General features: G+C 40.9%; 1 protein-coding gene and 1 long non-coding RNA gene across 6 annotated transcripts in view, besides 3 other annotated features; one reads left to right on the plus strand and one right to left on the minus strand.

Annotated features, from left to right (window-relative positions):
- Positions 1–14,714, minus strand: part of MAP4K3 (mitogen-activated protein kinase kinase kinase kinase 3) — a 188,020-nt gene extending 173,306 nt beyond the window's left edge. For all 5 annotated transcript variants that reach the window (NM_001410753.1, XM_047446092.1, NM_001270425.2 and 2 more), the window contains exon 1: positions 14,321–14,714. Coding sequence is in view for 3 of the 5 variants with exons in the window: in NM_001270425.2 (NP_001257354.1) it covers positions 14,321–14,416 (96 nt within the window). In the remaining 2 variants the exon portion in view is untranslated. The remainder of the gene's footprint in view (positions 1–14,320) is intronic.
- Positions 13,908–13,987: an enhancer, noted in NCBI's record as "active region_15617". NCBI's record gives its function as "activates an Ori minimal core promoter by ATAC-STARR-seq in GM12878 lymphoblastoid cells {active_cell/tissue: GM12878}" and the evidence as "EXISTENCE:reporter gene assay evidence [ECO:0000049][PMID:35858748]".
- Positions 14,318–14,677: a silencer, noted in NCBI's record as "silent region_11386". NCBI's record gives its function as "represses an Ori minimal core promoter by ATAC-STARR-seq in GM12878 lymphoblastoid cells {active_cell/tissue: GM12878}" and the evidence as "EXISTENCE:reporter gene assay evidence [ECO:0000049][PMID:35858748]".
- Positions 14,748–14,967: a silencer, noted in NCBI's record as "silent region_11387". NCBI's record gives its function as "represses an Ori minimal core promoter by ATAC-STARR-seq in GM12878 lymphoblastoid cells {active_cell/tissue: GM12878}" and the evidence as "EXISTENCE:reporter gene assay evidence [ECO:0000049][PMID:35858748]".
- The window catches only part of MAP4K3-DT (MAP4K3 divergent transcript), a 163,929-nt gene continuing 151,644 nt past the window's right edge, over positions 14,845–27,129 (plus strand). Inside the window, exon 1 of the long non-coding RNA NR_037875.1 lies at positions 14,845–14,964. This is a non-coding gene — a long non-coding RNA (MAP4K3 divergent transcript). The remainder of the gene's footprint in view (positions 14,965–27,129) is intronic.

Raw genomic sequence — 27,129 nt, forward strand, 5'->3', positions numbered from 1 at the left:
TATAGCAAATTAACACAAGAGTCCAGAAACAGACCCACACAAATATATTCAACTAATCTTTCACAAAGAAGCAAAGGTGATCCAATGGGAAAAGGACGGTCTTTTCAACAAATAGTACTGGAACAACTGTACATTGACGTGCAAAACAAAATAAAATAAAATATAAAAATCTAGACATGGACCTCACATCTTTTACAAAAATTACCTCAAAATGGATCACAGACATAAATGTAAAATGCAAAACATAAAACTTCTAGAAGATAACATACAAGAAAATCTAAGTGACCATGGTCTAGCATTGAGTTTTTAGATACAACACCAAAGGCATGACTCATGAAAGAAAAAACTGATAAGCTGGACATCATTAAAATTAAAAACTTCTGCTCTGCAAAAGACATTGTTAAGAGAATGAAAAGACAAGCCACACACTGGGAAAAAATACTGCATAACATATATCTGATAGAGGACATGTATCCAAAATATACAAAGAACTCTTTAAATTCAACAATAAAAAAAAATCCTATTTTAAAAAGGGAAAAAATCTTAACAGACACCTTACCAAAAAATATATACAGATAGCAAATATGCATAGGAAAAGATGACCAACATCATATACCATTAGGGACAGCAAATTAAAACAATGCGGTAGCACTACACACCTATTAGAATAGCCAAAATTCAAAACACTACACCACCAAATGCTGGTGGGGATGTGGAGCAACAGGAACTCTCATTCATTGCTGTTAGAAATGCAAAGTGCTACAGTCACTTTGGGAGGCATTTTGGCAGTTTCTTATAGAGCTAAAAGCAGTCTTACCACACAATCCAGCAATCACACTCTTTGGTATTTGCCCAAATGAGCTGAAAATTTATGTCCATATAAAAACCTACACATGGATATTTATAGCTGCTTTATTCATAATTGCCAAAACCTGCAAACAACCAAGATGTTCTTCAATAGGTGAATGAATAAACTGTGGTATAAACATACAATGAGATATTATTCAGTAATTTTTAAAAAATGAGGTATTGAGCCACAAAAAGTTATGGAAGAAACTTAAATGCATATTGCTAAGGGAAAGAAGACAGTCTGAAAAGGCTACATATTGTATGATTCCAATTATATGACATTCTGGAAAAGACAAAACTATAGAGACAGTAAAAAGATCAGTGGCTGCCTGGAGTTGGGCAGAGGAGAATGGAAGATGAATAGATAGAAAATGGAATTTTTAAGGCAGTGAAACTATTCTGTATGATACTATACTGATGGAAACATTTGTCAAAAGCACAGAAAATGTGCAACACAGAGTGATGCCTAATGTATGTAAACTATGAACTTTAATTAACATAATAATAATGTATCAGTATTGGTTCATCAATTTTTTTTTTTGAGACGGAGTCTCGCTCTGCTGCCCAGGCTGGAGTGCAGTGGCACGATCTCAGCTCACTGCAACCTCCGCCTCCCAGGTTCAAGCGATTCTCCTGCCTCAGCCTCCTGAGTAGCTGGGATTACAGATGTGTGCCACCACACCCAGCTAATTTTTATATTTTTCGTAGAGACAGGGTTTCACCATGTTGGCCAGGCTGGTCTCGAACTCCTGACCTCAGGTGATCCACCCGCCTCGGCCTCCCAAAGTGCTGGGATTACAGGCGTGAGCCATCGCGCCCGGCCTGGTTCATCAATTTTAACAAATGTATCACACTGAATTAAGATGGAAAGTGGAAAACCAGAATTGAGATTTCCACCAACAGGGGGGAGGGGAATTAGAATCAAGGTGGGAGGGGATGGAGGAAGGAAGTCTAGTGGATCTCTGCAATCTAGGTGCTTGGGGATTTTAAAACCATCTGAGTACAGGTGAACAGTCGTGGGCCCACTCAAAACAGCACATTGGAACGGAGACCCCCGAATAATGCTAGGACTCTGGAAGGGACTGTGCCTTCAGTAAAGCAAAAACAGTTTTTTTAAAAAAGGGTTAGGCCAGGCGCAGTGGCTCAAGCCTGTAATCCCAGCACTTTAGGAGGTTGAGGTGGGAGGATTGCCTGAGCCCAGGAGTTTGATACCAGCCAAGGCAACATAGTGAGACCTTGTCTATACAAAAAATACAAATATTAGGTGGGCAAGGTGGTGGACACCTGTAGTCCCAGCTACCTTGGGAAGCTGAGGTGAGAGAATCACTTGAGCCCAGGAGGTTGAGGCTGCAGTGAGCCTTGATTGTGCCAGTGCACACCAGCCTGGGTGACAGAGTTATAACCTGACTCAAAAAAAAAAAAAAAAAAAAAAAAGTTACCTACAAGCACAAGAGGATAACAACAAAGTCTGTGTTTGGGTAGAAGAAAAACAGTCCTCCAAGAATTCAAATCCAAGAGTCATTGCTCTTTTGATTTGGGGTTCAAGTTTGTATTATCTATAAGATGTGGGGAATCCCAAACTGAGAAATTAAAATAAAAATCCAAGACCAAAAAGACTCATGAGGTTACTGGAAGAAACAAAAGCAAAACTGTTTTGGAAGGACAGCCACAGTCTCCCACCCACTCCCCACCACCCCCCCAGCCCCTCCACTCAGCTGTCAATTTAAACCACAAAGATTCTTACAGAAAAAAAGTAGATGAATTCAAAATTAACATAGAAATTCACAGGCATGAGTCAGCATAAAACAAAGCAACAAACTGCAAGATGAAATCCCCCAAAATTTGAAATTATAGACTAATCCGAAAGCACTAAGAACAATTAAGTATGCAACAAGAATACAAAGACTTGAAAAAGAATAACACATATCTAGGAATATAATTAATAAAATGTAAAAAGCAATGCAATCTGCTACGGACTGAACTGTGTCCCTCTAAAATCCACATGTTGAAGACCTAACCCTCAATGTGGCAGCATCTGGAGATGGGGCTTTTTGGAGATAACTGGGTTTAGATGAGTTCCTGAGGTAGGGAAGGCCTCAGGATGGGATAAGTGCCCTTATGAGAAGAGACACCAGAAAGTATGCCCTCTCTCTCTGTAAGAAGGCCATCTACAAGCCAGAAAGAGAGCATCACTAGAAACCTGGCATCTTGATCTTGAATGTCTAGCCTCCAGAACTGTGAGAAAATTAATTTCTGTCATTTAAGCCACCTGGTCTGTGGTATGTTGTTACGGCAGTCCTAGCTAAGATAAAATCCAACTGGCCAAATCTGAAATTGTTTGAGCATCAAAATAAAAGTGATGAATCAAAACCCAATGAATAAAAGAAGAATCCATGAGCCAAAAAATAAATAAACAAAAATAGTTCTTCACAGTAGAATGTCAACCAATACATGTAGAAGAAATTAACGGAGTTAGAAAATCATTATTTGGGAACCATTATAGTAATAATTCAAGTAGAAATCAACTTGGATATTAAAATTAGTGGGTACAGGTTTGATGAGGAACAAAATATTATATAGTCTCAAAGTATCTCCCCATAATTTACTTATTAATTAGAAAAGGAAGAGATAATCTGATAGTGAAGAAACTTGGCACACCCACCTTAACCAAATAATCAAAATCAACATTAATAAGGGGACTAATCAACATCATGTTCTTCCTGATACGATTCACTGAGGATACACATCACTATAAATTTCCGTCAAAAAATGTGTAACATGAATTTAAACAAATGAGGGGCATTCTACAAAATAAATGATGCGTACTACTCAAAAATGTTGGTGTCTAAAAGACAAAGGCTGAAAAACTCTTCTAGGTTAAGAGACTGAAGAGTCTTAGAAACTAAAAATAGCATATGATTCTCCTGGATTTCTGGAGTTGGGGGGAAAATGCTATAATAGACATTACTGGGACTCCTGAAATTTCAATAAGGTCTGTAGATCAAATAATAGTATTGTCTTAATATTTAAATTTCCTGATTTTGATAATTTATTGCAGTTTAAGTAAATGTCTTTCATTTTGAGAATACACATCAAAGTATTTATGGGTAAAGGAGTTTGATGTCTGCAACTTACTCTCAAATGGTTCAGAAAAAAAAAATATGTATATATACAGAGAATAAATGTGGTAAAGTATTAGCCATCGGTGAATCTTGGAAAGGATGTATGAGAGTTATTTTATTTTTATTATTCTCTCATTCTTTGCAATTATCCTGTGAATTGAAATTATTTTTTAAAAAGCAAACTTTTTTTAAAAAATGAAAGTTTCAAACAGCAGATTAGACAGACATAATTAAAGATAATAAAGATAAGAACCATAATACATGACACAGAATAAAGAGAAAAATCATGAGAAGTCATGGAGAACTATAACAAAGTTAAAGAATACAACACGAGCTCTAAAGAGAAACAAGAAAGAGATAGGGGAAGAAAGGTATCAAAGATATTGCAGTTTACAATTTTCCAGGACTGAGGAAATACGCTACTCTTCAGATTAAAGAAAAACAGTAAATATTTTTATTAAAATCCACACATAACACTGTGAAACTGTACACACCAGAATCAAAGAAAAAAATCTTAAAAGTCAAACAGGGAGGAAAGAAAAAGTAAGATTAGCTAAAAGCAACAATAATTATATTGACAACAGACTTCTCCACAGCACAACAGGTAACCAGAAGACAACAAAAGATCTTCAAAGTGCTGAGAAAAAAACAACCGTTAATTTAGAGTTCTATACCCCACTAAACTATGATTTAAAAGTAAAGACAAAATAAAGACAATGAGGAGGGGGAGGAGGAAGACTGAGTTTACCTTATACAGTTCCTCACTTAAAAAGAAAAGTTAAAAGAAAGAAAAAAAATCCTACCAAATACAGCTTCAAGATTAAAGAAATCTGAACCCAGAATGAAGGAATATAAGGCCAAGAAGAAACAGTGAGCAAAGAAATTGAAAACTCCTACACGTAAATGTAAAGAAGCACTGTCTGTATAAAACAATAATAAAAACTAAACTGGGACATTTAAGAACAGTAGAACCAAAGTAAGAGACAACACAAAACAGTAAGGTAGTGAATGAAATTAAGCCTTCTAAAATCCACATACTGACCAGAAAGAGAACAGAGAAAGATCAGTTAACTTCAGACTAATTACACAAGTTGCAAATTTAACGGTAACCACCAAAAGCATAAAAGTAAAATCTTTTAACTTCTAAATCAATAGAGATGAAAGGGAAGAAATAAAACTTATTGAATACCATCTAAATAGCTACCCAAGCACGTTAGAGAAAAGAGTGGCCCTAATGAATTTGAAAAATACTACATTGTAGGTCAAGTGAGTTCTAAATTCTTCAACTGGCATTCATTTATCTGTATCTTATATATGTGAAACATTATCTACCACATTTCCCAATATGTCTCCTTAGAATAGTTGTCTTATTACTTCTTTGCCCACTTAGGTTCTACAGCAGTATTTTTAACCCATATTTACTCTTTTGGTATGACTTCACAGTTCTCCACAATCGCAAATACAATTTTTCTTCAAGTCCCAGGTCAAGATTCACTCTTTCAGGAAGTCAACTTATTTTTCCCTTAAATTAAAATTCCTACAGTATTTATATAGTTTTATTGTTTTCTTCTAATTGTTAAAATAGTGCCTTAGGCATGTTCCTTAGATGTTCCATACATGCAGATTTTGTTTCCTTATATCAGGGTTTAAGTTCCTCAGGGTAAGAATTTTCTTTAGGATCTCCTAAACAACCTAGCAGTGTTATTTTTCACTTAAGGATGAAGTAAACTTTAAGTGTATTTTCCTTTAATAAGCTCAAAAGCTGTGAGTTTTGCAAAATACACAGAAACACACACATCTCATATATAAAAGTAAACCAAGTTTTATAAGGTATTTGTTATAATCTTTGGGGCCGGCACAGTGGCTCACGCCTGTAATCCCAGCACTTTGGGAGGCTGAGGCAGGTGATCACCTGAGGTCAGGAGTTCGAGACCAGCCTGGCCAACATGGCGAAACTCCATCTCTACTAAAATAATACAAAAAATTAGCTGGGCGTGGTGACGGGTGCCTGTAATCCCAGCTACTCGGGAGGCTGAGGCAGGAGAAGTGCTTGAACCCGGAAGGCAGAGGTTGCAGTGAGCTGAGATCATGCCATCGCACTCCAACCTGGGCAACAAGAGAAAGAGCAAAACTCTGCCTCAAAAAAAAAATCTTTGGATACATAGAAAAAATGGATATCTTTTTAAATAGTCATTTTGCCTGTTTCCCTTTCATTTTTGTCAATTTTTATTAAAAGGAGTCCATGGGCCGGGTGCAGTGGCTCACACCTGTAATCCCAGCACCTTGGGAGGCTGAGGCGGGTGGATCACGAGGTCAAGAGTTCGAGACCAGCCTGGCCAACATGGTGAAATCCCGTCTCTACTAAGAATACAAAAATTAGCCCAGCATGGTGGCACATGCCTATAATCCCAGCTACTCGGGAGGCTGAGGCAGAATTGCTTGAACCCAGGAGGCGGAGGTTGCAGCGACCCGAAATAGCGCCACTGCACTCCAGCCTGGGCGACAGAGCGAGACTCCGTCTCAAAAAAAAAAAAAAAAAAAAAAAAAGGAGTCCATATGCTCAGGGTTAAAAATGAACAAGACTAAGCCAAAGGAAGTCAGAAACTACTAGTACAATGAGAATTTTAATGAAAACTGAAAATATGGCTCACATTATAATTACTACGCAATCCTGGAGAAGTTTTCCACAATTATGTTTCACTGCAATATTAGTAGGAAAAGCCAGGGATAACATTAATTAATTAAAATAAAGCAACATATTGATGAGATAAAGATCATCTAAATAAATGTAAAGGTATATCATATTCATAGATCAGAAGACTCAATGTTTTTAAGATCTCAATTCTCCACTAACTGAGTGACAGATCCCACACAATCCCAGCAGGCTGTGTATATAAAATATCACAAAATTATATACAAAGATATAAAAAATGAATGCATACAAAAACTGGTGAAATCTGACTAAAGCTTAGTTAACTGTATTGTGCCAACTAATTTCCTCGTTTTGATAATGCACTATAGGTATGTAAAGATATCACCACTGGGGGAAGGTGGGTGTTGGGTACATGAGACCTCTTTTCCTCTTTTTGCAATGAATTTAGAATTATGTATCTCAAAATTTAAAGTTAAGACAAAATTCCAGTAGGCTTTTATATTTAACTTGAAAAGCTGATTCAAAAATTTGTATGGAAAAGCAAAGGACCTAGAATAGATAAAACCATTTTGAAAAGGTAGAACAGAATTGGAGGACCCACTCTGCCTAATTTCAAGACTTTTGATAAAGCTACAGTAAACAAGACACTGAGGTATTGGTGAAAGTATAGACATACAGCTCAAAAGAACAAGAGTCCAGATATACTCACATGTGTACTGTCAACTGATTTTCATCAAAAGTGCTGAGGCAATTCACTCATGATTCATTTATACAAAGTTCTAAAAGAGCTTTCATGGTGACCGAAAGGAGAACAATAATTGTGGGTGGGTGGTATTTATGACTGGCTGGGAAGGGGCATGTATTAATCTGTTCTCATGCTGCTAATAAAGACATACACAAGACTGGGTAATTTATAAAGGAAAGAGGTTTAATTGACTCACAGTTCCACATGGCTGGGGAGGCCTTACTATCATGGTGTATGTAGGTTAGCATACAGGCGATGAAGAGGAGATTCTTTGAGCAAGGTAAGGTAGATGATCCTTTATACAGAAAGAATTTTTACAATCTCAAATTTCTAAGAGCTTAAACAAACAAAATAAGTGTCTTATTTCAACATATGTAAATTTATGGTCAAATCTAAAATTATTCTATAGAGTTTAAGGGCTAAGGTAGGCAGTACATTATTACATTAGGAAACCAAACCTATAATCAGGTCAAGGCAGTTAGAACTCAGAAATGTGGCATCTTCCAGAACAAAAAAAGACTAAAAAAAACCTAAAGCAGAAAAGAAATATGATTTTTGTACATATAAAGGTGGTATGAAAAAATAAATAAAAATTAAAAAAGAAACATGATTTCATCTCTTGAATCGAAGGTTTTTTTTGTATTGGTGAACAAAGTCCTCTTCCTAAAAGCCCAATTTAATCGTATTTTAAAAAAAACAAAATAAAAGTCATATGTGATAGCCTACTGCTGTATTCACTAGTCAGTCACTAGGGGTATTTAGTTCAAAATGACGGAGTATCTTCATATGCATATAACAATTATGAACATTGCTTAATATGCCAAAGATACATTAACCCTACTGATTAGATTTAAGACCTAATAATAACCCATTACATTTAACTCATTCTGTACCCACTATTGCCAGAACTCTAAGTCAAGCCCAATGCCACCTCCTCTGCAAGGCCTGCTGTGATTTCTCCCAGTCAGAAATAATGATCTCCTTCCTCTAAACTCATGTAGCCATGGTTTGTTCCTCTCGTGTTGGTTCATTTATTCATTCCATAAATATTTATTAAGAACCTAATATGGGTCAGCTACTCTTCTAGGCTCTGGGGATACAGCAATGAACAAAGCAAAATCACCAGTTTCCTGGATTTATACTCTAGTGGGAAGAGACAGGCTATAAACAAATAAACATGTGGTGATACATGCCATAATTAAAAATTAAGTAAAGAGTCCAACTGAATTTTTTGTGAAGCTAACAAAACTTAAAGTTCAGGCCCCTTCACTTGCATGGTCCTCTATGAGTGCTGAGAGTTGCTGGGACATGTAGAGTATTCCAGGTGGAGACAGGGAGCCAGGGAGTCATCAGAAAGCATTTTTTTGTGAGCATTTGTGATTAAATGCCTAAGGAAGTCTCAGAAGAAAGGGACCTAAGGTTACAGTATTTTGTTGGGATATCTTTTCTCATTCTAAAGATTCACTTTCATACCTTTTTTAATTCTAGTTTTGTTTTCTTAATGAGGGTCCCCAAAACTGCATCAACTTCAGGTCCCGTAAAACCTGGATCCATCCCTGAACTGTATCCCTGAAAGTGGTGGGAGAAGTGCTGTTTTTTGTAGGGTGGAAAGGAGCAGGCTCATTAAAAGATGACATTTGAGCTGAGACTTTAAACGAAGAAGCAAGCCAAACAGATATTGGTGGGGAGGGGTGGATTTTAGGCAGAGACAGCAAGCTAAAAACCCTGAGGCAAAGCATGAGGAATGCAGTTGGTTAGAAGGACAGTAGGAGGAGAAATACATAATAATAAATACTTCTAGACACTAACAGCAATTAACAATGACCACACTTTTTTGTGTCAGGTACTGTCCCAAGCACTTTTCTAAGCATCTCCATTTTACAGCTGAGGAAACTGAGACACACAGAGAGGGATTAAGTAATTGGCCTAAGGACAAAGCTAGTGGGTGGTGAAACTAGGCAGCCTGGCTCCAGAACCCTGTTCTCAAATCACTATGCTGTGCTACAGAGGTCGGTTGTGCAATTATGGAGTATCTAGAGAGTCTCTCAGCCAGCAAGAGATTTAATATGATATAAATGAGGAAACCAAAAGGTTCTGATCTCAAACTATGACAGCTAATAGCAGGTACACATTTTATGTTCCTGTAAATACCAAGTACCAAGCCTTGTCATTTCTGCTACTCTACTCACAGTTCATAACACATTTCCTCTCATATTACAGCTGTTCAATGTATGATGGCTGTTCAATGTACTCTCATGAGAGAACTTACTATTCATTCTTAATACAAAATGATGCATTAGATACGTTTCACCAATAAATACATATACAGATCAAAGGCTGGAGGTAAGTACTTCCTTTAGGTAATCAGATCTGCATCAAAGTCAGAAAACCTGTTTGTTTTTCAAACACTCTAGAAAAATTACCTCGCTACCTGTTTCATTGTCACTTTTCATCTCAAATAGCAACTGATGATGGGAAATTCTACCTTATTCAACTTCAAATGATCTTTCTGAAGTTTAGGGCCATTTCTTCTGGTCTCTCTAGAGTCTATTAGAGTCTATCCTAAATGGAAGTAAATAGAAGTGAGCATAACTCCAAATAACAATGTTTGAGCTTCCTTCAAATGTTCTTTTCTAAATGCTTAAGGTCTTCATATTCCTTATCCGTTAGGTTTAAGAATTGAGTTTTCCAGAAAGGTTCTCACAAATGCTGATTATAATGGAAGAATTAGTCTATGATGATATTAAATAGAACACCTTGAAAGATGCATAATTACAAATAAACTAACACGTAATTATCTAAATGCATATAAATTGGTTTCCTTATTTTACTGCCCAATCCTCACCTTTTTTCCTGCCAGCTTTCACAGACACTTTAAATCTATTTACACAGACTACGATGTGAATCCTACCTGGAAGCTTAACAACACGGCAGCCCGTGCTTCAGAGGGAATGGCTTCCAAACACACAAAGGTGAAAAAAAATCAATATCAACGTTTCCAAAGCATGTTCTACAAAACACTAGTACTAAGGACAAGCAATATGTATTACAGAGAAAAAGAATCTAATAGTCAAGTAAGTTTGGAGTTTGCTAGGTTAAGCAAAGTTTACCAGGTTTCTTTACCATAGGACTTCTCAGTCTTTAACCTACTCATGGTATGGCTTTTCCTGAAGCACCCCAACCACACTTTGGAAAATGCCTGTGTACAGAATTTAGCTAATGCCTAAGAAGCCCAGTCCAGAAGTCACTAAAGATGACTCTAAGGCTTACAGCCTGGAGTCTTTGTGTATCCAGTCTTGGATACACAGGCTAGGAATCATTCACAGGGACCAGACTAAAACCATAAGACTAGGTAAGATACTTCCTCAGAAACCATATTGAGACTATTCTTTCAAAACTTCTTTTGCCTTATCCCATCTCCAGCTTTACTATCTCCTGCTTCTTTCTAGCAAAAAATCTAGAAAAACATAAGGACATCAAGACTTAAAGGGTAGGAATAATAAAAATTAAACTGGAAAACTGCCTGACAAAAGATGGCACAATGCATGTGAAAATCATATTATGATCTATTATAACTACCTAATTTCTCCAAGAAAACTTTTTTGAATGGCAAACCTATGGATCATTTTTTCATTTTTTTGGATCATGAAGCTCTTTAAGAATGCAATGAATGCTATAACCCATCTCCACAGAAAAACACAAATACATACAACATTAAGCCTATTAATTTCAGAGCACTCCATGGGCCTCCTGAGGCCCAACTAAAGAGCTTCAGTTGCCAGCTCCTAGGTCCCTAGGTAACCCAAGCTGCAGGCACTTCATGACAGATAAAGCCTGCAGAGTTACACGACACTTACAAGATACGACTTTAGACAGTGCAGATAAAATGTATATATGCATTGGCCTGAAAAAAATAAAGATAACTTACTTACTAAGTAAAATTTGAGTCATTTAGTCAATACCAAAAGAAGAAGGGCATATGATGGTAATAATATCTCCACAACAAAACAGCTCTGAGAGGTTGATTTCACAAGGTCACATAGCTAATAAATCCCAGATTGTCCACATCCTTGTTCAGTGCTTTGGAACTAAACCACGCCACCTTAAGTACAATAAATATGTTATTACATTGAGTAGGAAAACATTTTCAAAATAAAAATCTCCACCAACCTTCCAAGAATGACTATAATCGGATCTCTTATTTATTTAATCCAATCATTCCATTTTTAGCACGTAAATGCTGACAAATTAAGGAACAAATTATATATATTGGCTTTTGAAAACAAAATGTACTTCTCTCTAGCACAATTAATTTGTATAAATAAGAAAAAACTAAAACAGCAAAACAAATAACAAAAAAATGTAACTTTATAGAATAAACTTGATTATAGACAAAAACATAAACAAGAGTTTGGCAGGCAGGGGTACATGATGTCAAGAACCACATGAAGTTTCTCTGCTTTGGTCACTGGTATTGGAAGAGTCTGGCAGGCAGGGACCAAGCATCTATTATCTGATATCCACTTGGCAGACTACATAAACAGTGAGACCTTGTGGCACAGCAGGAATTAGGTATTCCAACTACTACTTAAAGATCTACACTGACTCAGAGTGTGGCTACAACTCAAATGCTAAACTAAATGTGTGCCTCAGTTTCTCCACTGGAAATGTAATACATTATCTGCCCATCTCCTATCTTTAGAGAGGCAGCACTGCCAATTGGTTAAGAATACAGTCCCTAATTGGTTCAAATTTTGGCTTTGCCACCTACCAACTTTGGCAAGTTAATCTCCTTGTGCCTCAGTTTATTCAACTGCAAAATGGAGTTAACAATAGCACCTATCTCACAGGGTTGCTGTTAGGATTAATTAGAAAAATCTTATAGTGCCTGGCAAGTAACAAGCATTCCATAAACATCAGCTAGTATTATCATTATTTTAAACGAATGACAAGATTAACCAACTTAGTATACCTCTATTACACTTAGGAAATTACAGGCCCTAATTTTTTTTTGCTTTTTAATCATGTGGCTTAACTACTAACTGTTCTTTTTAATATAGCAAGTACACAGCCAATTAGTCCTGTAAAAAAATTCACTGTATACCCTGCCACCTAAAACGTATACATTCATCGAGTTTTAGTTAACTTTTCATCGCAATATAAGCGAACTCCCCCAACCAGTCATAAGTGACTTGCATCCATCCACTTCTACTTTCACAGTCATCACCATATTCCTTAACACCATTATTCTTACCTAGACTATCACAGTGGCCTCCCAACTGCTCCATTCCACTCTTCATGCTGTAGTAGGGAGCTCTTTTAAAAACCTAAATCTAATGTCACTCCTCTGCTTAAAAGCCTGCAATAGTTCCCCATTGTCCTAAACAAGTCCGATCTCCTAATGAGAACTAAGAGGCCTGCAAGATCTAGGGCCACCCTCCCGCTCTGGCTGCTCAGGCTATACAGGCCTTCTTTCACATCGGGCCTCAGAGCCTTCACATATCATGCTCCCCTATCTGGCGTAATCCCCTCTCCCCAGTACCCTAAGCAACGCCTAATCATCTCTGAGATCTCAGCTGAAAGGCGATGAGCGTCTGATACCCTAAACAGGATCAGGTCCTCCTATTACATGCTCTCATAACCCTGATCCTAATACTCTTTTCTGCATCACAAAATTAAACGGCAATAATTATTTAAATGGCTATTTAATACTGTCCTTGTCCAAAAAAATAGAAACACTTAGGAAGATTTGGAACCAAGTCTATCGTTTACTGCTACAACCCAAAGTGCTTACTTGCCAAGTATCTCATACATTGTAGGTGGGCTCAATATATCTATATTGCATAGTAGGAAAAGTGATGAGATCCACGATGGTGAAAAGTAGATCATCCAGAAAATCAGACTAAAGCAGAACACTGGCTGCACTGTATTAAATATGTAAGTTACCACAGGCATTACACTGAAGAGTAAAAACCTGCTTAAACATGGGCAAAATAAAGTTAAGACTGAACTTTCCAATGCAAAATTAAGTTTCTTTGTGCATCCTCAGGTGTTATGTGAAACTGGAGGAGTTCAACTTCAGTTACCAGTAAGAAGATACACAACTAAATCAAGACTGCTGCCACATTTGGCAACAACCTCCTCTCTTCTTGGCAGTAACTGTGAGGCCAAGAGTTGAGTTGGCCAGGGAAGAGTGATTTATCTTCCCACATTTAGAAGTGGTCCCTCTACAACAGGAATGCTGTACCGCTACTGGACTTTGAATTCTAACCTTGTCAAACCAGTACCTTCCCTAAGTATTCAAGTCACTTTTTAAAAAACAAGTTTAAATGGCATCGCAGTCCAATTCGACTTAGAGAAAACAAAGTTGCTCTTTCCAAAAAAAAAAAAAAGTCATTACTCTGGAAAATTAAAAGAAACTGACAGGGGGATGAATAAGGCGCTAAAGGCTGAGAGCTGTCGATGGAAGATGGAGGTCGCTCAGCATAGTATAATAACTACCACCGAGGCCTGGTGGGCAGCAGCTCCCAACCTAGAGCGGACGACCCCAGGTTGGCGTGAAGCAGGCAGGTTTGACAACACCAGACCCCTGCTGTCCGGTTCGTCGCGCTGACCCTGCCAACGCAACAAACGCCCAGACCTTCTCTGCACTATGGATGAGCAGTGTGGCCTGCTCTCGTTCTGCCCTTCCCTGGAAATGCGCGCAAGAAGGGAGGTGGCAAAAATCATGTCCACCGGGGGGGCTCAGGTAAGGGCTGGGGAGGTCTCGGGGTTAAACATTCGGCCCTTTGTTCACCAAGGCAGCAGAGCCCTTGGCGTCCGCAGCTCCTCCTCCCCGACTGCTCCCTGGCGCCAGCGTCTCCCGAGGACAGGCGGCAAGGGCTCGGACGCCCAGGCTTGGCTGCGGGTCGGGATCCCACGGCCTCGGCGGCGCGCGGCCCCTGCCTTTACCTTGTAGACGTCGCCGTAGGTGCCGCTGCCGATGCGCTGAATCAGCTCGAAGTCCTCCTGCGGGTTCCGGCGGGACAAATCGAAGCCGGGGTTCATGGCGGGCCCCAGGTGCCCCCCGCCTCCCTCCCGGGCAGGGGAGGGGGGCCGCTCAGGGGGCCACACGGAGAGAGGGCGCCGCGGCCGGCTCCCGGCTCCCCCGGCGGTCACAATCACCCGGCTCCACGCTGCGGCCGCCGCCGCCGCCGCCGCTCCCCTCACGCCGCTGCGGACGACGACAAGCGGCCAATCGTCCCCGCCCCCCGCGGCCCGCCGCCGCGCCGAACCTGGTCACACCCACAAGGAGAGGAGAACCCTCGCAGCCCCTCGCTCGGGGTGAAACTCCAACATGGCTTCCGCTTTCGCCGCTCCTCCCCCTCCCCTTACTCCGGCTCCTCCAACCTCCTCCCCTTTTCCCGACTCCCGCCCGACTGCGCAGCCGCGATCCCGGAGGGAGCGCGCCAGGCCTGGCGCGCACCCGACCCCTTGCGCGTTCCGGCTCCGCGCGCCTGCCAGGCCGGGGCCGGCGGCGGAACAGCTTGGGACCCGAAACGCCTCGGCTTTTCTGCGGACCCGCGCCCGGCCGCTGCCGCCGGACGCTTGAAAAGGTTTGCCTGGCCCAGGGACCGGGGTTAGGACTAGCAGAAAGTGGCTTCTTTTCGTTTCTGATTCCCCTAACGACAAAGTTGGACCTTGGTCTATCTGGTCCCAGTTCCAAGCAGGTAGCATAGTGGTAATATCCAAGACAGCCAATGTCCCAGCCTTTATTATTTTAGAAGCAGCTACATGTAGGATACCATGGAGTGCTGCAGCCTTTCTGGGATTGCGGGGAGGGGTCACTAAACACACCGTGAGGAAAACCCCCAGGAAAAGTGAGCTGTGCTTGCTTGCCCCTGTCACCGACACTCGGACCCTTGGAGTTGGCCTGCCAGGGTGCAAAGGAGGGCAGGCCAGGAGGGCCGCGAGGGAGGTGTGTGCAGTGGGCAGAGCGTGAAAGCTCCGGGAGGAAAACACGCGGAACAGCTGCCCACCATCCCGCGTGGGAGGCAGGCAGAGCGCAGAACTAAAGCAGTGATTGACCTCCCTCTTCGAAGAGGGTTGGATTATCAAAGACGGGCGGGGACTGCGCAGGCTGTCAAGCAACCCTGTAAAGAAGGGGTGGAGAGTGGACTAGATCTATTACCGCACCTGAAATATAAACACGTGACGATCCGGAAGCTCTTTAGCTGTGACCTTACCTACCCAAAAACCCCACCCTGCTTAAGACCCAGATTGCGCGTCTTACATCTGAGCTATGTGGACTCCAGCTCCGATTGTTAATACTTGCCCAAGAAAGCTTGAGGGTAATGGAAGGTTATTTTTCTGTTCTCATTGAACTTCCCAATAGACATTTGCAGGAGCTTTAATCAATTAGGTGATGGCCACTTTGGCAATACCACGTTGGAGTTTTGCTTCAGAAATGCTTTCCTAATCCCCTTAGGCACCACACCTTCTAACCACTAATATTCCCTAATACCTCGTGGCTCCTGAGAAACTAGGTCTCATCAAACCTGTTAAGGATAAGTATAATAAATTAATAGTAGAGCAAACTACTTAGAGTTAACTGCTTCATACTTTTTCAAAAAATCTTTTGAATCCTTTTGCTCATAGGAAAATTGCATATGTACTAAATTCTCAAATTGTTTACTTTGAGTATCTGTTGACTAAATTGATGTTTGAAAATGGTTATCTCTTCACCTATATAAGTAGCCTTTCAGTTGTGTAATTTTTAATTATTAAATTTTAAAGCATCAGTAATATGAAAGTATCACTTAAATTATTGCCTTAGGAGTGCATATCATTGAATATCTTCTCGATGGATCTACCTTCAGGCTCTGGTATCTTGAGAAACTCCTGACTATAAATGTTATTCCATAGCCAAAGGTCTTGCTTTTGCTTGTTTAAGGTACTTGCCCAGGACCCAGATTACAGGCCTTCCTTCAGTTTGTCCACATTTGGAGAATTGTTTGGCATGTTTAGGCCAAGCGCAAGAATAATTAGCCAAGGATTCAGATAAGCAGACCTGACAAATTATCCCAAATGGAAGCCAGGTCTGCTCTTTTCCTCTGCCTTTTTTTTTTTTTTTTTTTTGAGAAGGAGTTTCGCTCTAGTTGTCCAGGCTTGAGTGCAAGGGTGCAATCTCAGCTCACTGAAACCTCTGCCTCCCGGGTTCTTAGCGATTCTCCTGCCTCAGCCTCCCAAGTAGCTGGGATCACAGGCATGCAACACCACACCCAGCTAATTTTTGTATTTTTAGTAGAGATGGGATTTCTCCTTGTTGGTCAGGCTGCTCTTGAACTCCCGACCTCAGATGATCCGCCTGCCTCGGCCTCCTGAAGTGGTGGGATTACAGGCATGAGCCACTGCACCCGGCCTCTGCCTTTTTAGTGCCAGAAAGCCAAATTCTCAGGACTGAAAGCTGCACAAGAAAGTTCTAATGACTTCAGTGTTTTGTTTGCTGAGATTATCGTCTGTCCAAATAACTTTGCATTTGCATCACTAATAGACTGCTTTCAAAAGGAAAAGACATTTCAGTAGGGCTAGAACAGTCTTTAAAGTTTTGTCTGTTCCATTTTGGCAGGGCCAAGCTAGTCCTTTTGAGAAGAGATGAATTTCCATGTAAGGGCCTGATTTGCCATGTGGGTTACAACATAAGTAAAACAACTGCTCACAAAGAAAATATTTTGTTTTTTGTAATATATGCATGTGGCCAATTCCAGTGCCTTTTCCCCCTGTTCTAACAATCCTCAGTTTTGCTAGAAGTAACACTAATGATCACACTTTCCTAGAATCAGAGAAAGAGCTTCCCTCTTCTATGATTAGAAGCATTCTTAGAAGTCATCTAATCTTTTTAACTCAGGAACTGCTTCTACAGCATCTCTGCTGGATTTGCTGCTGCTTGAATACTTTCAATAAAAGGTGACTCATTGCTTCCCAAAACAACCCACCTCGTTGTGATACAGTGCTAGTAAATGATCATAATAACTAGGAGAAAAGTAGTAATTTCTAACATTGCTAAGTGCTTACAAGATACCAGGAATGGAGCCAAGTATTTTTCATGTGTTATTTCATTTAATTCGCACAACAACCTAATGACATAGGTAATATTATCTCCATTTTATGAGGCACAGACAGATTAAACTGCTCAAGGTAACACAGAAGGCTGAAATTTGAACAAAGGCAGTATGACACCAAGGCTAGATTCTTAGCCACTAGTCTATACTCTGCTTATATACAATATACTGTAAAAAATTTCTCTTATGGTAAGCCAACCTCTACCTCCCTGTAATGTATTTAGAGGCAATGATTATTAGATTCTGGTGGTATTGAATACAGAAAAGAAAAGCCACAATGCCTTCCCTCAAGGAGTTGACAGTCTCATAAATAGTGTGAGAAGCACAGAGAAGGGACATTAATGCAGACGGGAGGAAGATTTAGGAATGACCCCTTGGCTGGGCGCAGTGGCTCATGCCTGTAATCCCAACACTTTGGGAGGCCGAGGCGGGTGGATCACCTGAGGTCAGGAGTTCAAGACCAGCCTGGCCAACATGGTGAAACCCCATCTCTACTAAAAATACAAAAATTAGCTGGGCGCGGTGGCACGTCCCCTGTAATCACAGCTACTCGGGAGGCTGAGGCAGGAGAATCACTTGAGCCGGGAGGTGGAGGTTGCAGTGAGCTGAGACTGCACCATTGCACTCCAGCCTGGGCAACAGAGGAAGCGTCCGTCTCAAAAAAAAAAAAAAAAAAAAAAAAAGGAATAACCCTAAAGCTGAACCTTGAAAAATGCATAGGCAGACAAGGGAAAGTGGTGCATGACAGGCTGGCTGCTTAGCGCCTTGAAGCACCTACCCGTTTAAGCATCACACAGCAAGGAACACAAGAAGGCCAAGATAGGCAGCAGTCCCCACCTGCCAGCATGTCCAGGCCATCCTTCTATTGCCCCATCCCCCATGGGTTTCTGGCTTAGGAACCCCTTGATCCCCTGCACAGGCTCCCAATTTCATCCTCGACCTCTTGTCTGACAACTCACTGGAGCCCCTTCTTTGGCCTATTAACCTCAGCCCTCCTCATATAACATAACCACCACTCACATTTTCAGTACATTAGCTGCTCTGGAAACAGGATACTGAGCAAGCCTTAGCTCAAAAAAATGCCAGAAGCAGGTCATCCACCAGGGGAGGAAAATCACACAGAGAGCATGTATGTGAAATAATATGGCACATACAACAGACAATTGTGCTTAAATTCTGAAGACAGAGGGAGATGGTGGCAATGGAGCTAAAAAAATCAGGTTTCTTTTTTTAATTAAAAAATTTTTATTTATGGCCAGGCGCTGTGGCTCACACCTCTAATCCCAGCACTTTGGGAGGCCGAGGCGGGTGGATCACCTGGGGTCAGGAGTTTGAGACCAGCCTGACCAACATGGTGAAACCCTGTCTCCACTAAAAAAAATACAAAACTTAGCCGGGAGTGGTACCACGTGCCTGTAATCCTAGCTATTCCGGAGGCTGAGGCATGAGAATCGCTTGAACCTGGGAGGAGGAGGTTGCAGTAAGCTGAGATTGCACCACTGCACTCCAGCCTGAGTGACAGAGTGAGATTCTATCATTAAAAAAAAATTATTTATGTATTTCATTTCTCCCCAGCTTTAAATTGAGGCATAATGGGCAAATAAAAATTGAATGTCTTTACAGTGTACAATGTGATGTTTTGATATATGTATATGTTTTGAAATGATTACTACAGACCAGCTAGAAAAATTTACTTACAAAATTCAAACATGCTTAAGAAAAATTTATACTTTTTTTAAAAAGTCAGAAACTGGCTTGTGAGGAGCTGGTTTTCAGGTGGGTTATCATATGTTTAAGCTGCAGAGACTTCCAAAAGGTTATACAGCCTTACCTAGTACAGCTCTGAACCAGGCTACCTAGGTTTAAATCTTATCTCTGTTCCCTGACTGAAAAACCTTGGGAAGTTATTTAAAACTATAGCTGTTTTGATTAATCAAAAAGAAAATACAGGGAAAGGAGTGCCTGGCACTATAGTAACCCCACAAAATATTAATTATTATTATTTTGAGTGTTCTTTTTTCTTTTTCTTTCTTTTTTTTTTTTTTTTGTTTGAGACAGAGTTTTGCTCTTGTTGCCCAGCCTGGAGTGCAATGGCACAATCTTAGCTCACCGCAACCTCCGCCTCCTGGGTTCAAGCGATTCTCCTGCCTCAGCCTCCTGAGTAGCTGGGATTACAGGCATGCGCCACCATGCCTGGCTAATTTTGTATTTTTAGTAGAGATGGGGTTTGTCCATGTTGGTCAGGCTGGTCTCAAACTCCTAACCTCAAGTGATCCGCCCACCTCTGCCTCCCAAAGTGCTGGGATGACGCATGAGCCGCCGCACCCGGCCTATTTTGGTTGTTGTAAAGACATTCTAAAGATGCCAGTCTTATAATGTCAGTTCTAAAGATGACAGTCATGGAGATGGAGATGAAGATATGACTTAGGAAGCAATTACGATAACATATATAAGAGACCCTGAATTAGGGTCTGGAGTGCTGAGAATGGAGAAGAGAGAAATAACACAGGAGATAATTGGGAGATGGAATGCATAGGCTTGGGGAAGTGAGGAAGCAGGTGGAGACATTAGTGACTTGCAGGCTTATGGTATAGGCAATTGGGAGGGTCATGATAGCATTTGCCATGATAAAGGGAACTGGTATAATTTGGTAGAGAGTCAAAGTAGATGATCTGTTTTGTAGCTAAGTTTGAAGTGCTCAACTGGAAATATAAAATTAGTGATAAAAATGTGGATCTGAAATTTAGAAACAATATCAGGGCTAATATTTAGATTTGAGGAGTCATACTTCAGAAAAATTTATTGGGCATTGATATGGTTTGGCTGTGTTCTCACCCAAATCTCATCTTGAATTATAGTTCCCATAATCCCCACGTGTGATGGGAGGGACCTGATGGGAGGTAATTGAATCATGGGGCCAGTTTCTCCCATGCCATTCTCATGATAATAAAGTTCTTAGAAGATCTGATGGTTTTATAAGGGGCTTCTCCTTCGCTCCACTCTCATTCTCTCTCCTGCTGCCATGTGCAGAAGGACATGTTTCCTTCCCTTTCTGCCATGATTGTAAGTTTCCTGAGGCTCCCCAGCCATAGGGAACTGTGAGTCAATTAAATATCTGTCCTTTAAAAATTACTCAGTCTTGGGTATGTCTTCATAGCAGTGTGAGAATGAACTAATACAAGCATTGATCATGTGTCAAACACTATATTAGATTATGATGATGCAATAGGGCATGGTCTCTGAACTTAAATTGAGAATACAGAGAAGTTCTCAGTGAAAACTTCAGAGAGGTACAGGGAAGTAGAGCCAGAAGGAAATATTAGATGCCCCTGGGGCTAATAATTTGGCTCTTTTTCAAACCAATATATGCTTTTTAATTTTCTTTAAATCAATTTTTTTTTTGAGACAGGGTCTCACTTTGTTACCCAGGTTGGAGTGCAGTGGCATGAACATGACTCACTGCAGCCTTGGCCTCCCAGGCTCAAGATATCCTCCCACCTTAGCCTCCTGAGTAGCTGGAACTACAAGCACACACACCACACCTGACTAAGTTTTCTTTATTTTTTGTAGAGATGGTGTCCCATGATGTTTCCCAGGCTGGTGTCAAACTCCTGGGCTCATGTGATCCTCCTGTTCTGGCCTCCCAAAGTGCTAAGATTATAGACATGAACTACTGTAACCAGCCTAAACCAGTATTTTAAAAAACAGGTACTCAATATTTATTTACAAAAAAGGGAGAGCTCTGCCTTGCTGTGGGTGGAGCTGGGAGTTCTCACGTGTCAACTTTCAACCACTCTTATTCTGAGCAATTTGGCTCAGTTCTCAGATTTGCATACCCCCAATAGTGTTTCTCAATTGAGGTTTTATTAGCATTTTGGGTGGAACAATTTTTCCTTGTGTGGGACGATCCCCATGCATCATAATATCCCTGTCCACCCCATGTCAATACTGCTCCCAGCCATACTGACATCAACAAAAATAGCCACACACATTTTTGAATGCCCAAGGTTTGGCTGGGAGGGTGGGAGTGTGAGTGGTTGGATTGAGAATGTTTGCTTAGCATCTCCCTTGGGAGAACTGTCACCCACACCAATCTGTTTATCAAGGTATTTATTTCTATCTCATACAGTATATTTGCTGAGAGAAGTTCTGATATGTAAAATATTATCTGTTTTATTACATTTCCAATGTCCAAATGATGTTGTTTCACTGTCCTCCATAGATTCACAGCCAACATTCCGCTTCCACCTGCCCCTTATCATATACTTCCTGGGACTACTTAGGAGAGCACCCAATGTAGTCTTTGTAAGTTTTAAAGTCTTCACAGAGGAAGGAACATCTCAGCAGATGCTTAAAAGACAAGTAGAAAATTAGCCAGGCAAAAAGGTACACTCCACGCACACACACAAAACCTAGTTCTGTTTACGGTGAATGTGGTAACAGATGAGGCTGGAATGGTAAGCAGGAACCAGTCCATGATGGAACATATAAATTGTGTTAAATGATTAGGATTTTTCTCTTTTTTTTTTTTTAACTGAGAACAAAAGGGAGCTATTGATGAGTTTTTGGCATGTGAATAACAAGATCTTATTTGTGACTTGGAAACATTTCACTAGCTGCAGTATGGAAAATGAATTGGAGACAGGTGGCAAGACTAGAGACATGATATGAGAATAATCAGGAGACCTTTGCAATGGTATAGGTAAGAGAAAATGGTGGCCTGAATTAACATCTGGAGTGCATATCAACATACAGTGATGGTAGTATTTGAAATTGTGGGTTGAGATTAATTCTCATAGGGAAAATGTATGGAATAGGCAGAAAATGGGTTCCTACAAAACCCCAACATTTAGGGTGTGAGCAAAGTAAGGGAATTTAGCAAAAAAGGCCAAAGAGGTGGGACCCAGTGTGATATGTGGTAATGGAATTGTGTGGCACCTATTGGAATGAACAGTCAGGTTTCCCTCCAGGGAGGTACCGGCCGTATGGGCTGTGATTAGCTGACAGCCTCCCACCACCATGCCTTTGGGATCTATCACAGCATTTACACAGAGGTCTCCCTCTCTCTAGATCCTCCCAGCCAATGCCTGAGCATGGCTATTGCTTTCCAATGTAGTTTCTTCCGATGGGCAGTCTTTGCTCTGGGGTCCCCATTGGCCTAATTGAGCCTTTCTCAGAGCCGCCACGCAGATAGACTCTACCCAATTCTTCCTTCTCCTATTCCCTTTATGGTATTAAGATGTGGTATTAAGATGTGGATTGCAATCTGACATTCTTCCCTCCTACTGCTACTTTTCCTCTTTATCCTTCACAAGTGTTTTCACAGATTTCTTGCACTTCAATTCAATCTTACTATCTACTGAAGTAGTACAAATTGTATCAATGAAACAAAAGAGGAAATTTTAAGGAGAGTGGATCAACACTGTTAAATACCAAAGAGAGACTGGGAAAGAGGGGGACAGAAAAGTATCGTTAGTTGTCATTATGGAGATCAATGCTAACCTTAACTATCAAAGTTCGTATTTTCTCTTCTGCTATTGTGTCTCCTCTTAGTTATATTCTCCCAAATCCCCTTCAGCCTTTCTCATACATCATGAACTCTATACATCTCATCTGGACCCCTTCGTATGGACACATTTAACTTGTTAATATCTTTCAGAGTAAACTCTGGCAAAGAATTGAGCTCAGTATTCCAAATGCAGTCTGGTCACTGTTTACTATGGGGGGATTGTAACTACCTATTACTGGAACGCTTTATTATAGCCTAAACTTTTATCCAATTTTTTTATAGCCCAACAAACTCAGGGTCACTGTACTGCTCGATTCTGGGAGATGCCATTCATACTGTTATCTATAATTCTAAAATCCTCAACCCCTACCTGGCCCCTTGGTCCTGATGAAGAAAAATCTCCAAAAATCATATTTGCCCTCCTCTAAGATCATCACAAGTGTTCTTGAACCCACACTGTCATAAAGTGTCAGGGACAAGAAACCTGGTCTCAAGCATCTCACTGTGAAGTTTCTGCCCTGACATCAATCTAACAGGCTAGATGTTATCTTCTCATCCCCAGGCAAATATAACACCAACAACAACAAAACCGAGCACCCAGTACCTGTATGTTATATTGCTACCAGGTGAGATCTTGAAAACACAAAAGAATTATCTAGACGAGAATCTTTCATCTTCTTGGGAAGCCAAGATTTTAAATGATATCTTTTCAGACTCATTCAGTCCTGGAGGGTACAGGCTACATCAAAAATAGGCAATAAAATCTGGTCCTGTACCGTATGACAACATTTCAGTCAACAACAGGCTGCATATATGACAGTGGTCCCATAAGATTATAATGGAGCTGAAAAATTCCTATTGTCTACTGATATCATAGCTGGTGTAATATAGTAGTGCAACACATTACTCACATATTTGTAGTGATGCTGGTGTAAAACCTACTGTGCTGCCAGTCATGTCAGCATTCAGTGCATATAATTATGGGTAGTACATAATACTCGATAATGATAATATATGACTGTTATTGGTTTATGTATTTACTATATTATTTATCCTTATTTTAGAGTGTATTCCTCCTACTTATTTAAAAAAAAAAGTTAACTGTAAAGGAGCCTCAGGCAGGTCCTTCAGGAGGTATCCAGAAGAAGGCATTGTTATCATAAGATATGACAGGTCCATGTGTGTTATTGTCCCTAAAGATTTTCCAGTGGGGTCCGGGCATGGAGGCATATGCCTCTAATCCCAGCACTTTGGGAGGCTGACGCAGGAGGATTGCTTGAGCCTAGGCATTCAAGACCAGGCTGGGCAACATAGCGAGATCTTGTCTCAAAAAAGTTTTTTAAAAAACCTTCCAGTGGGACAAGATGTGAAGATGGAAGACAGTTATATTGATGATCCTGACCCTTTATAAGCCTAGGCCAATGTACGTGTTTCTGTGTTGGTTTTTAACAAAAGTATTTTAAAAGTAAAAAAAAAGAATTGAAAAAATTAAAAAATACAAAAATGCTTGTAGAATAAGTATATAAAGAAAGAAAAGACTGAACATGGTGGGATGCATCTGTAATCCCAGCTACATGGGAGGCTGAGGCAGAAGGATCATTGGAGTCCACGAGTTCAAGACTAGCCCTAAAAGAAAATATTTTTGTACAGCTATATCATGTGTATGTTTTAAGCCAAGTGTTATTACGAGTTAACTTTTTTTTTTTTAATTTAAAAGTATATAAAGAGGTAGTGGCTCACTCCCGTAATCTCTGCATTTTGGGAAGCTGAGATAGGAGGACTGCTTGAGCCCAGGAGTTTAAGACCAGCCTGGGCAACACAGGGAGACCCCATGTCTATAAAAAATTTAAAAAAAATTAACCAGGCCTGGTAGTGCATGCCTGTGGTCCCAGCTATTCAGGAAGTTGAGGTGGGAGGATCACTCAAGTCTAGGAGGTTGAGGCTGCAGTGAGCTGTGATTGTGCCACTGCACTCCAGCCTGGGTGACAGAGCAAGACCCTGCCTCAAAAAATAAACAAATAAAATTGCAGTAAACTAAGATTAATCTATTATTGAAAAAAATTGTGTAAATTTAGTATAGCCTAAGTATACAGTGTTTATAAAGTCTACAGTAGTATACAGTAATGTCCTAGGCCTTCACATTCACTCACTACTCACTCACTGACTCACCCAGAGCAACTTCCAGTCCTGCAAGCTCTATTCATGGGAAGTGTCCTATATAAGGGTACCATTTTTTAATCTTTCATATTGTGTTTTTCACTATGTCTTTTCCATGTTGAGATACACAAATACTTACCATTGTGTAACAATTGCCTACAGTATTCAATACAGCAACAGGCAGTACAGTTTTGTGGCTTAGGAGCATTAGGCTACACCATATAGCCTAGATGTGAGGTAGGCTCTATCCTCTAGGTTTGTGTAAGTGCACTCTATGATTTTCATACAACAGCGAAATCACCCAGTGACACATTTCTCAGAATGTATCCCTGTCATTGAGCGATGCATGACTGTACTGAAGAACGCTAAGGAAGTACACGCTGCTAAGGGACAGACCGAGGGATGGTTGAGATCATTTTTTTAATAAAATCTTCCTTATATTTATCTGTTATCCCATGATATATTAGAGCATAGTGTTTCCCTGATTCCATCTTACATAACATCCAGCCTAGAATTCCCCTCAGATGCCTCTGGTTAAGAGGTGTTGCCCTGTGTCCTAGTTCCCAAATACAGAGCGCTGTTGGGCCAGACCGACCTGGCCCAGAACAAATATAGTCACATACATTGTGTTTGCAGAGTTGCTCACTGCCCCAGAGTCATATCCTGCTGGCCTTTTCACTAGAAGCTTTATTGTACGTTATTATTTTCTCCTAGGAGGACTTCACCCCTGCACAACAAAACCTGTATAATAGTAAAGCAAATCTATTTGTAGATTTAGAAAGTTCATCTTTTTTGAAAAAAATCATCCACTAATTTGGTTTAAACCTGGATTGGAGTTTTTCTTTCTCAAAACAGATTAAAACTGGAAATAAAAGCTCAGTTAAGGCCGGGGATGGTGGCTCACGCCTGTAATTCCAACACTTTGGGAGGCCAAGGCAGGCAGATCACAAGGTCGGAGCTCGAGACCAGCCTGACCAACATTGTGAAACCCCGTCTCTACTAAAAATACAAAAATTAGCAGGGTGTGGTGGCGCGTGACTGTAATCCCAGCTACTCAGGAGGCTGAGGCAGGAGAATCACTTGAACCTGGGAGGCGGAGGTTGCAGTGAGCCAAGATCCTGCCATTGCACTCCAGCCTGAGCTACAGAGCGAGACTCTGCCTCAAAAAAAAAAAAAAAAAAAAAAAATCAAAACAGCCGGGCACGGTGGCTCACGCCTGTAATCCCAGCATATTGGGAGGCCAAGACGGGCGGATCACGAGGTCAGGAGATTGAGACCATCCTGGCTAACACGGTGAAACCTTGTCTCCGCTAAAAATACAAAAAGAAAGCTGGACATGGTGGCGGGCGCCTGTAGTCCCCAGCTACTCGGGAGGCTGACGCAGGAGAATGGTGTGAACCCAGGAGGCGGAGCTTGCAGGGAGCCGAGATCGCGCCACTGCACTCCAGCCTAGGCGACAGAGCGAGACTCCGTCTCAAAAACAAACAAACAAACAAAAAACTCAGTTAAGGCTGGGCGCGGTGGCTCACGCCTGTAATCCCAGCTCTTTGGGAGGCCGAGGCGGGCGGATCACGAGGTCAGGAGATCGAGACCACAGTGAAACCCCCTCTCTACTAAAAATACCAAAAATTAACCGGGCGCGGTGGCAGGCGCCTGTAGTCCCAGCTACTCAGGAGGCTGAGGCAGGAGAATGGCGTGAACCCAGGAGGCGGAGGTTGCAGTGAGCCGAGATTGCGCCACTGCACTCCAGCCTGGGGGGACAGAGCGAGACTCCGTCTCAAAACAAAACAAAACAAAACAAAAAAAAAAACAGTTAAAATAGTTCGAATACCAGTTTTCCATTACTCCTATTCCCTGCTCACAGTTCAAGGTCAATGGGAAGATAACTCTTTTCTCAAACTGACCCAGATCTCTGCACCGGGAAACAGATCCGTTTGCTGGGTCTGAGCTAATGGCAAAGCCTGTCTAAATCAAGGTATGCCTCTTCTTCTTCT

Source organism: Homo sapiens, chromosome 2 (genome assembly GCF_000001405.40).
Source record: "Homo sapiens chromosome 2, GRCh38.p14 Primary Assembly".
Lineage (NCBI taxonomy): Eukaryota > Metazoa > Chordata > Mammalia > Primates > Hominidae > Homo > Homo sapiens.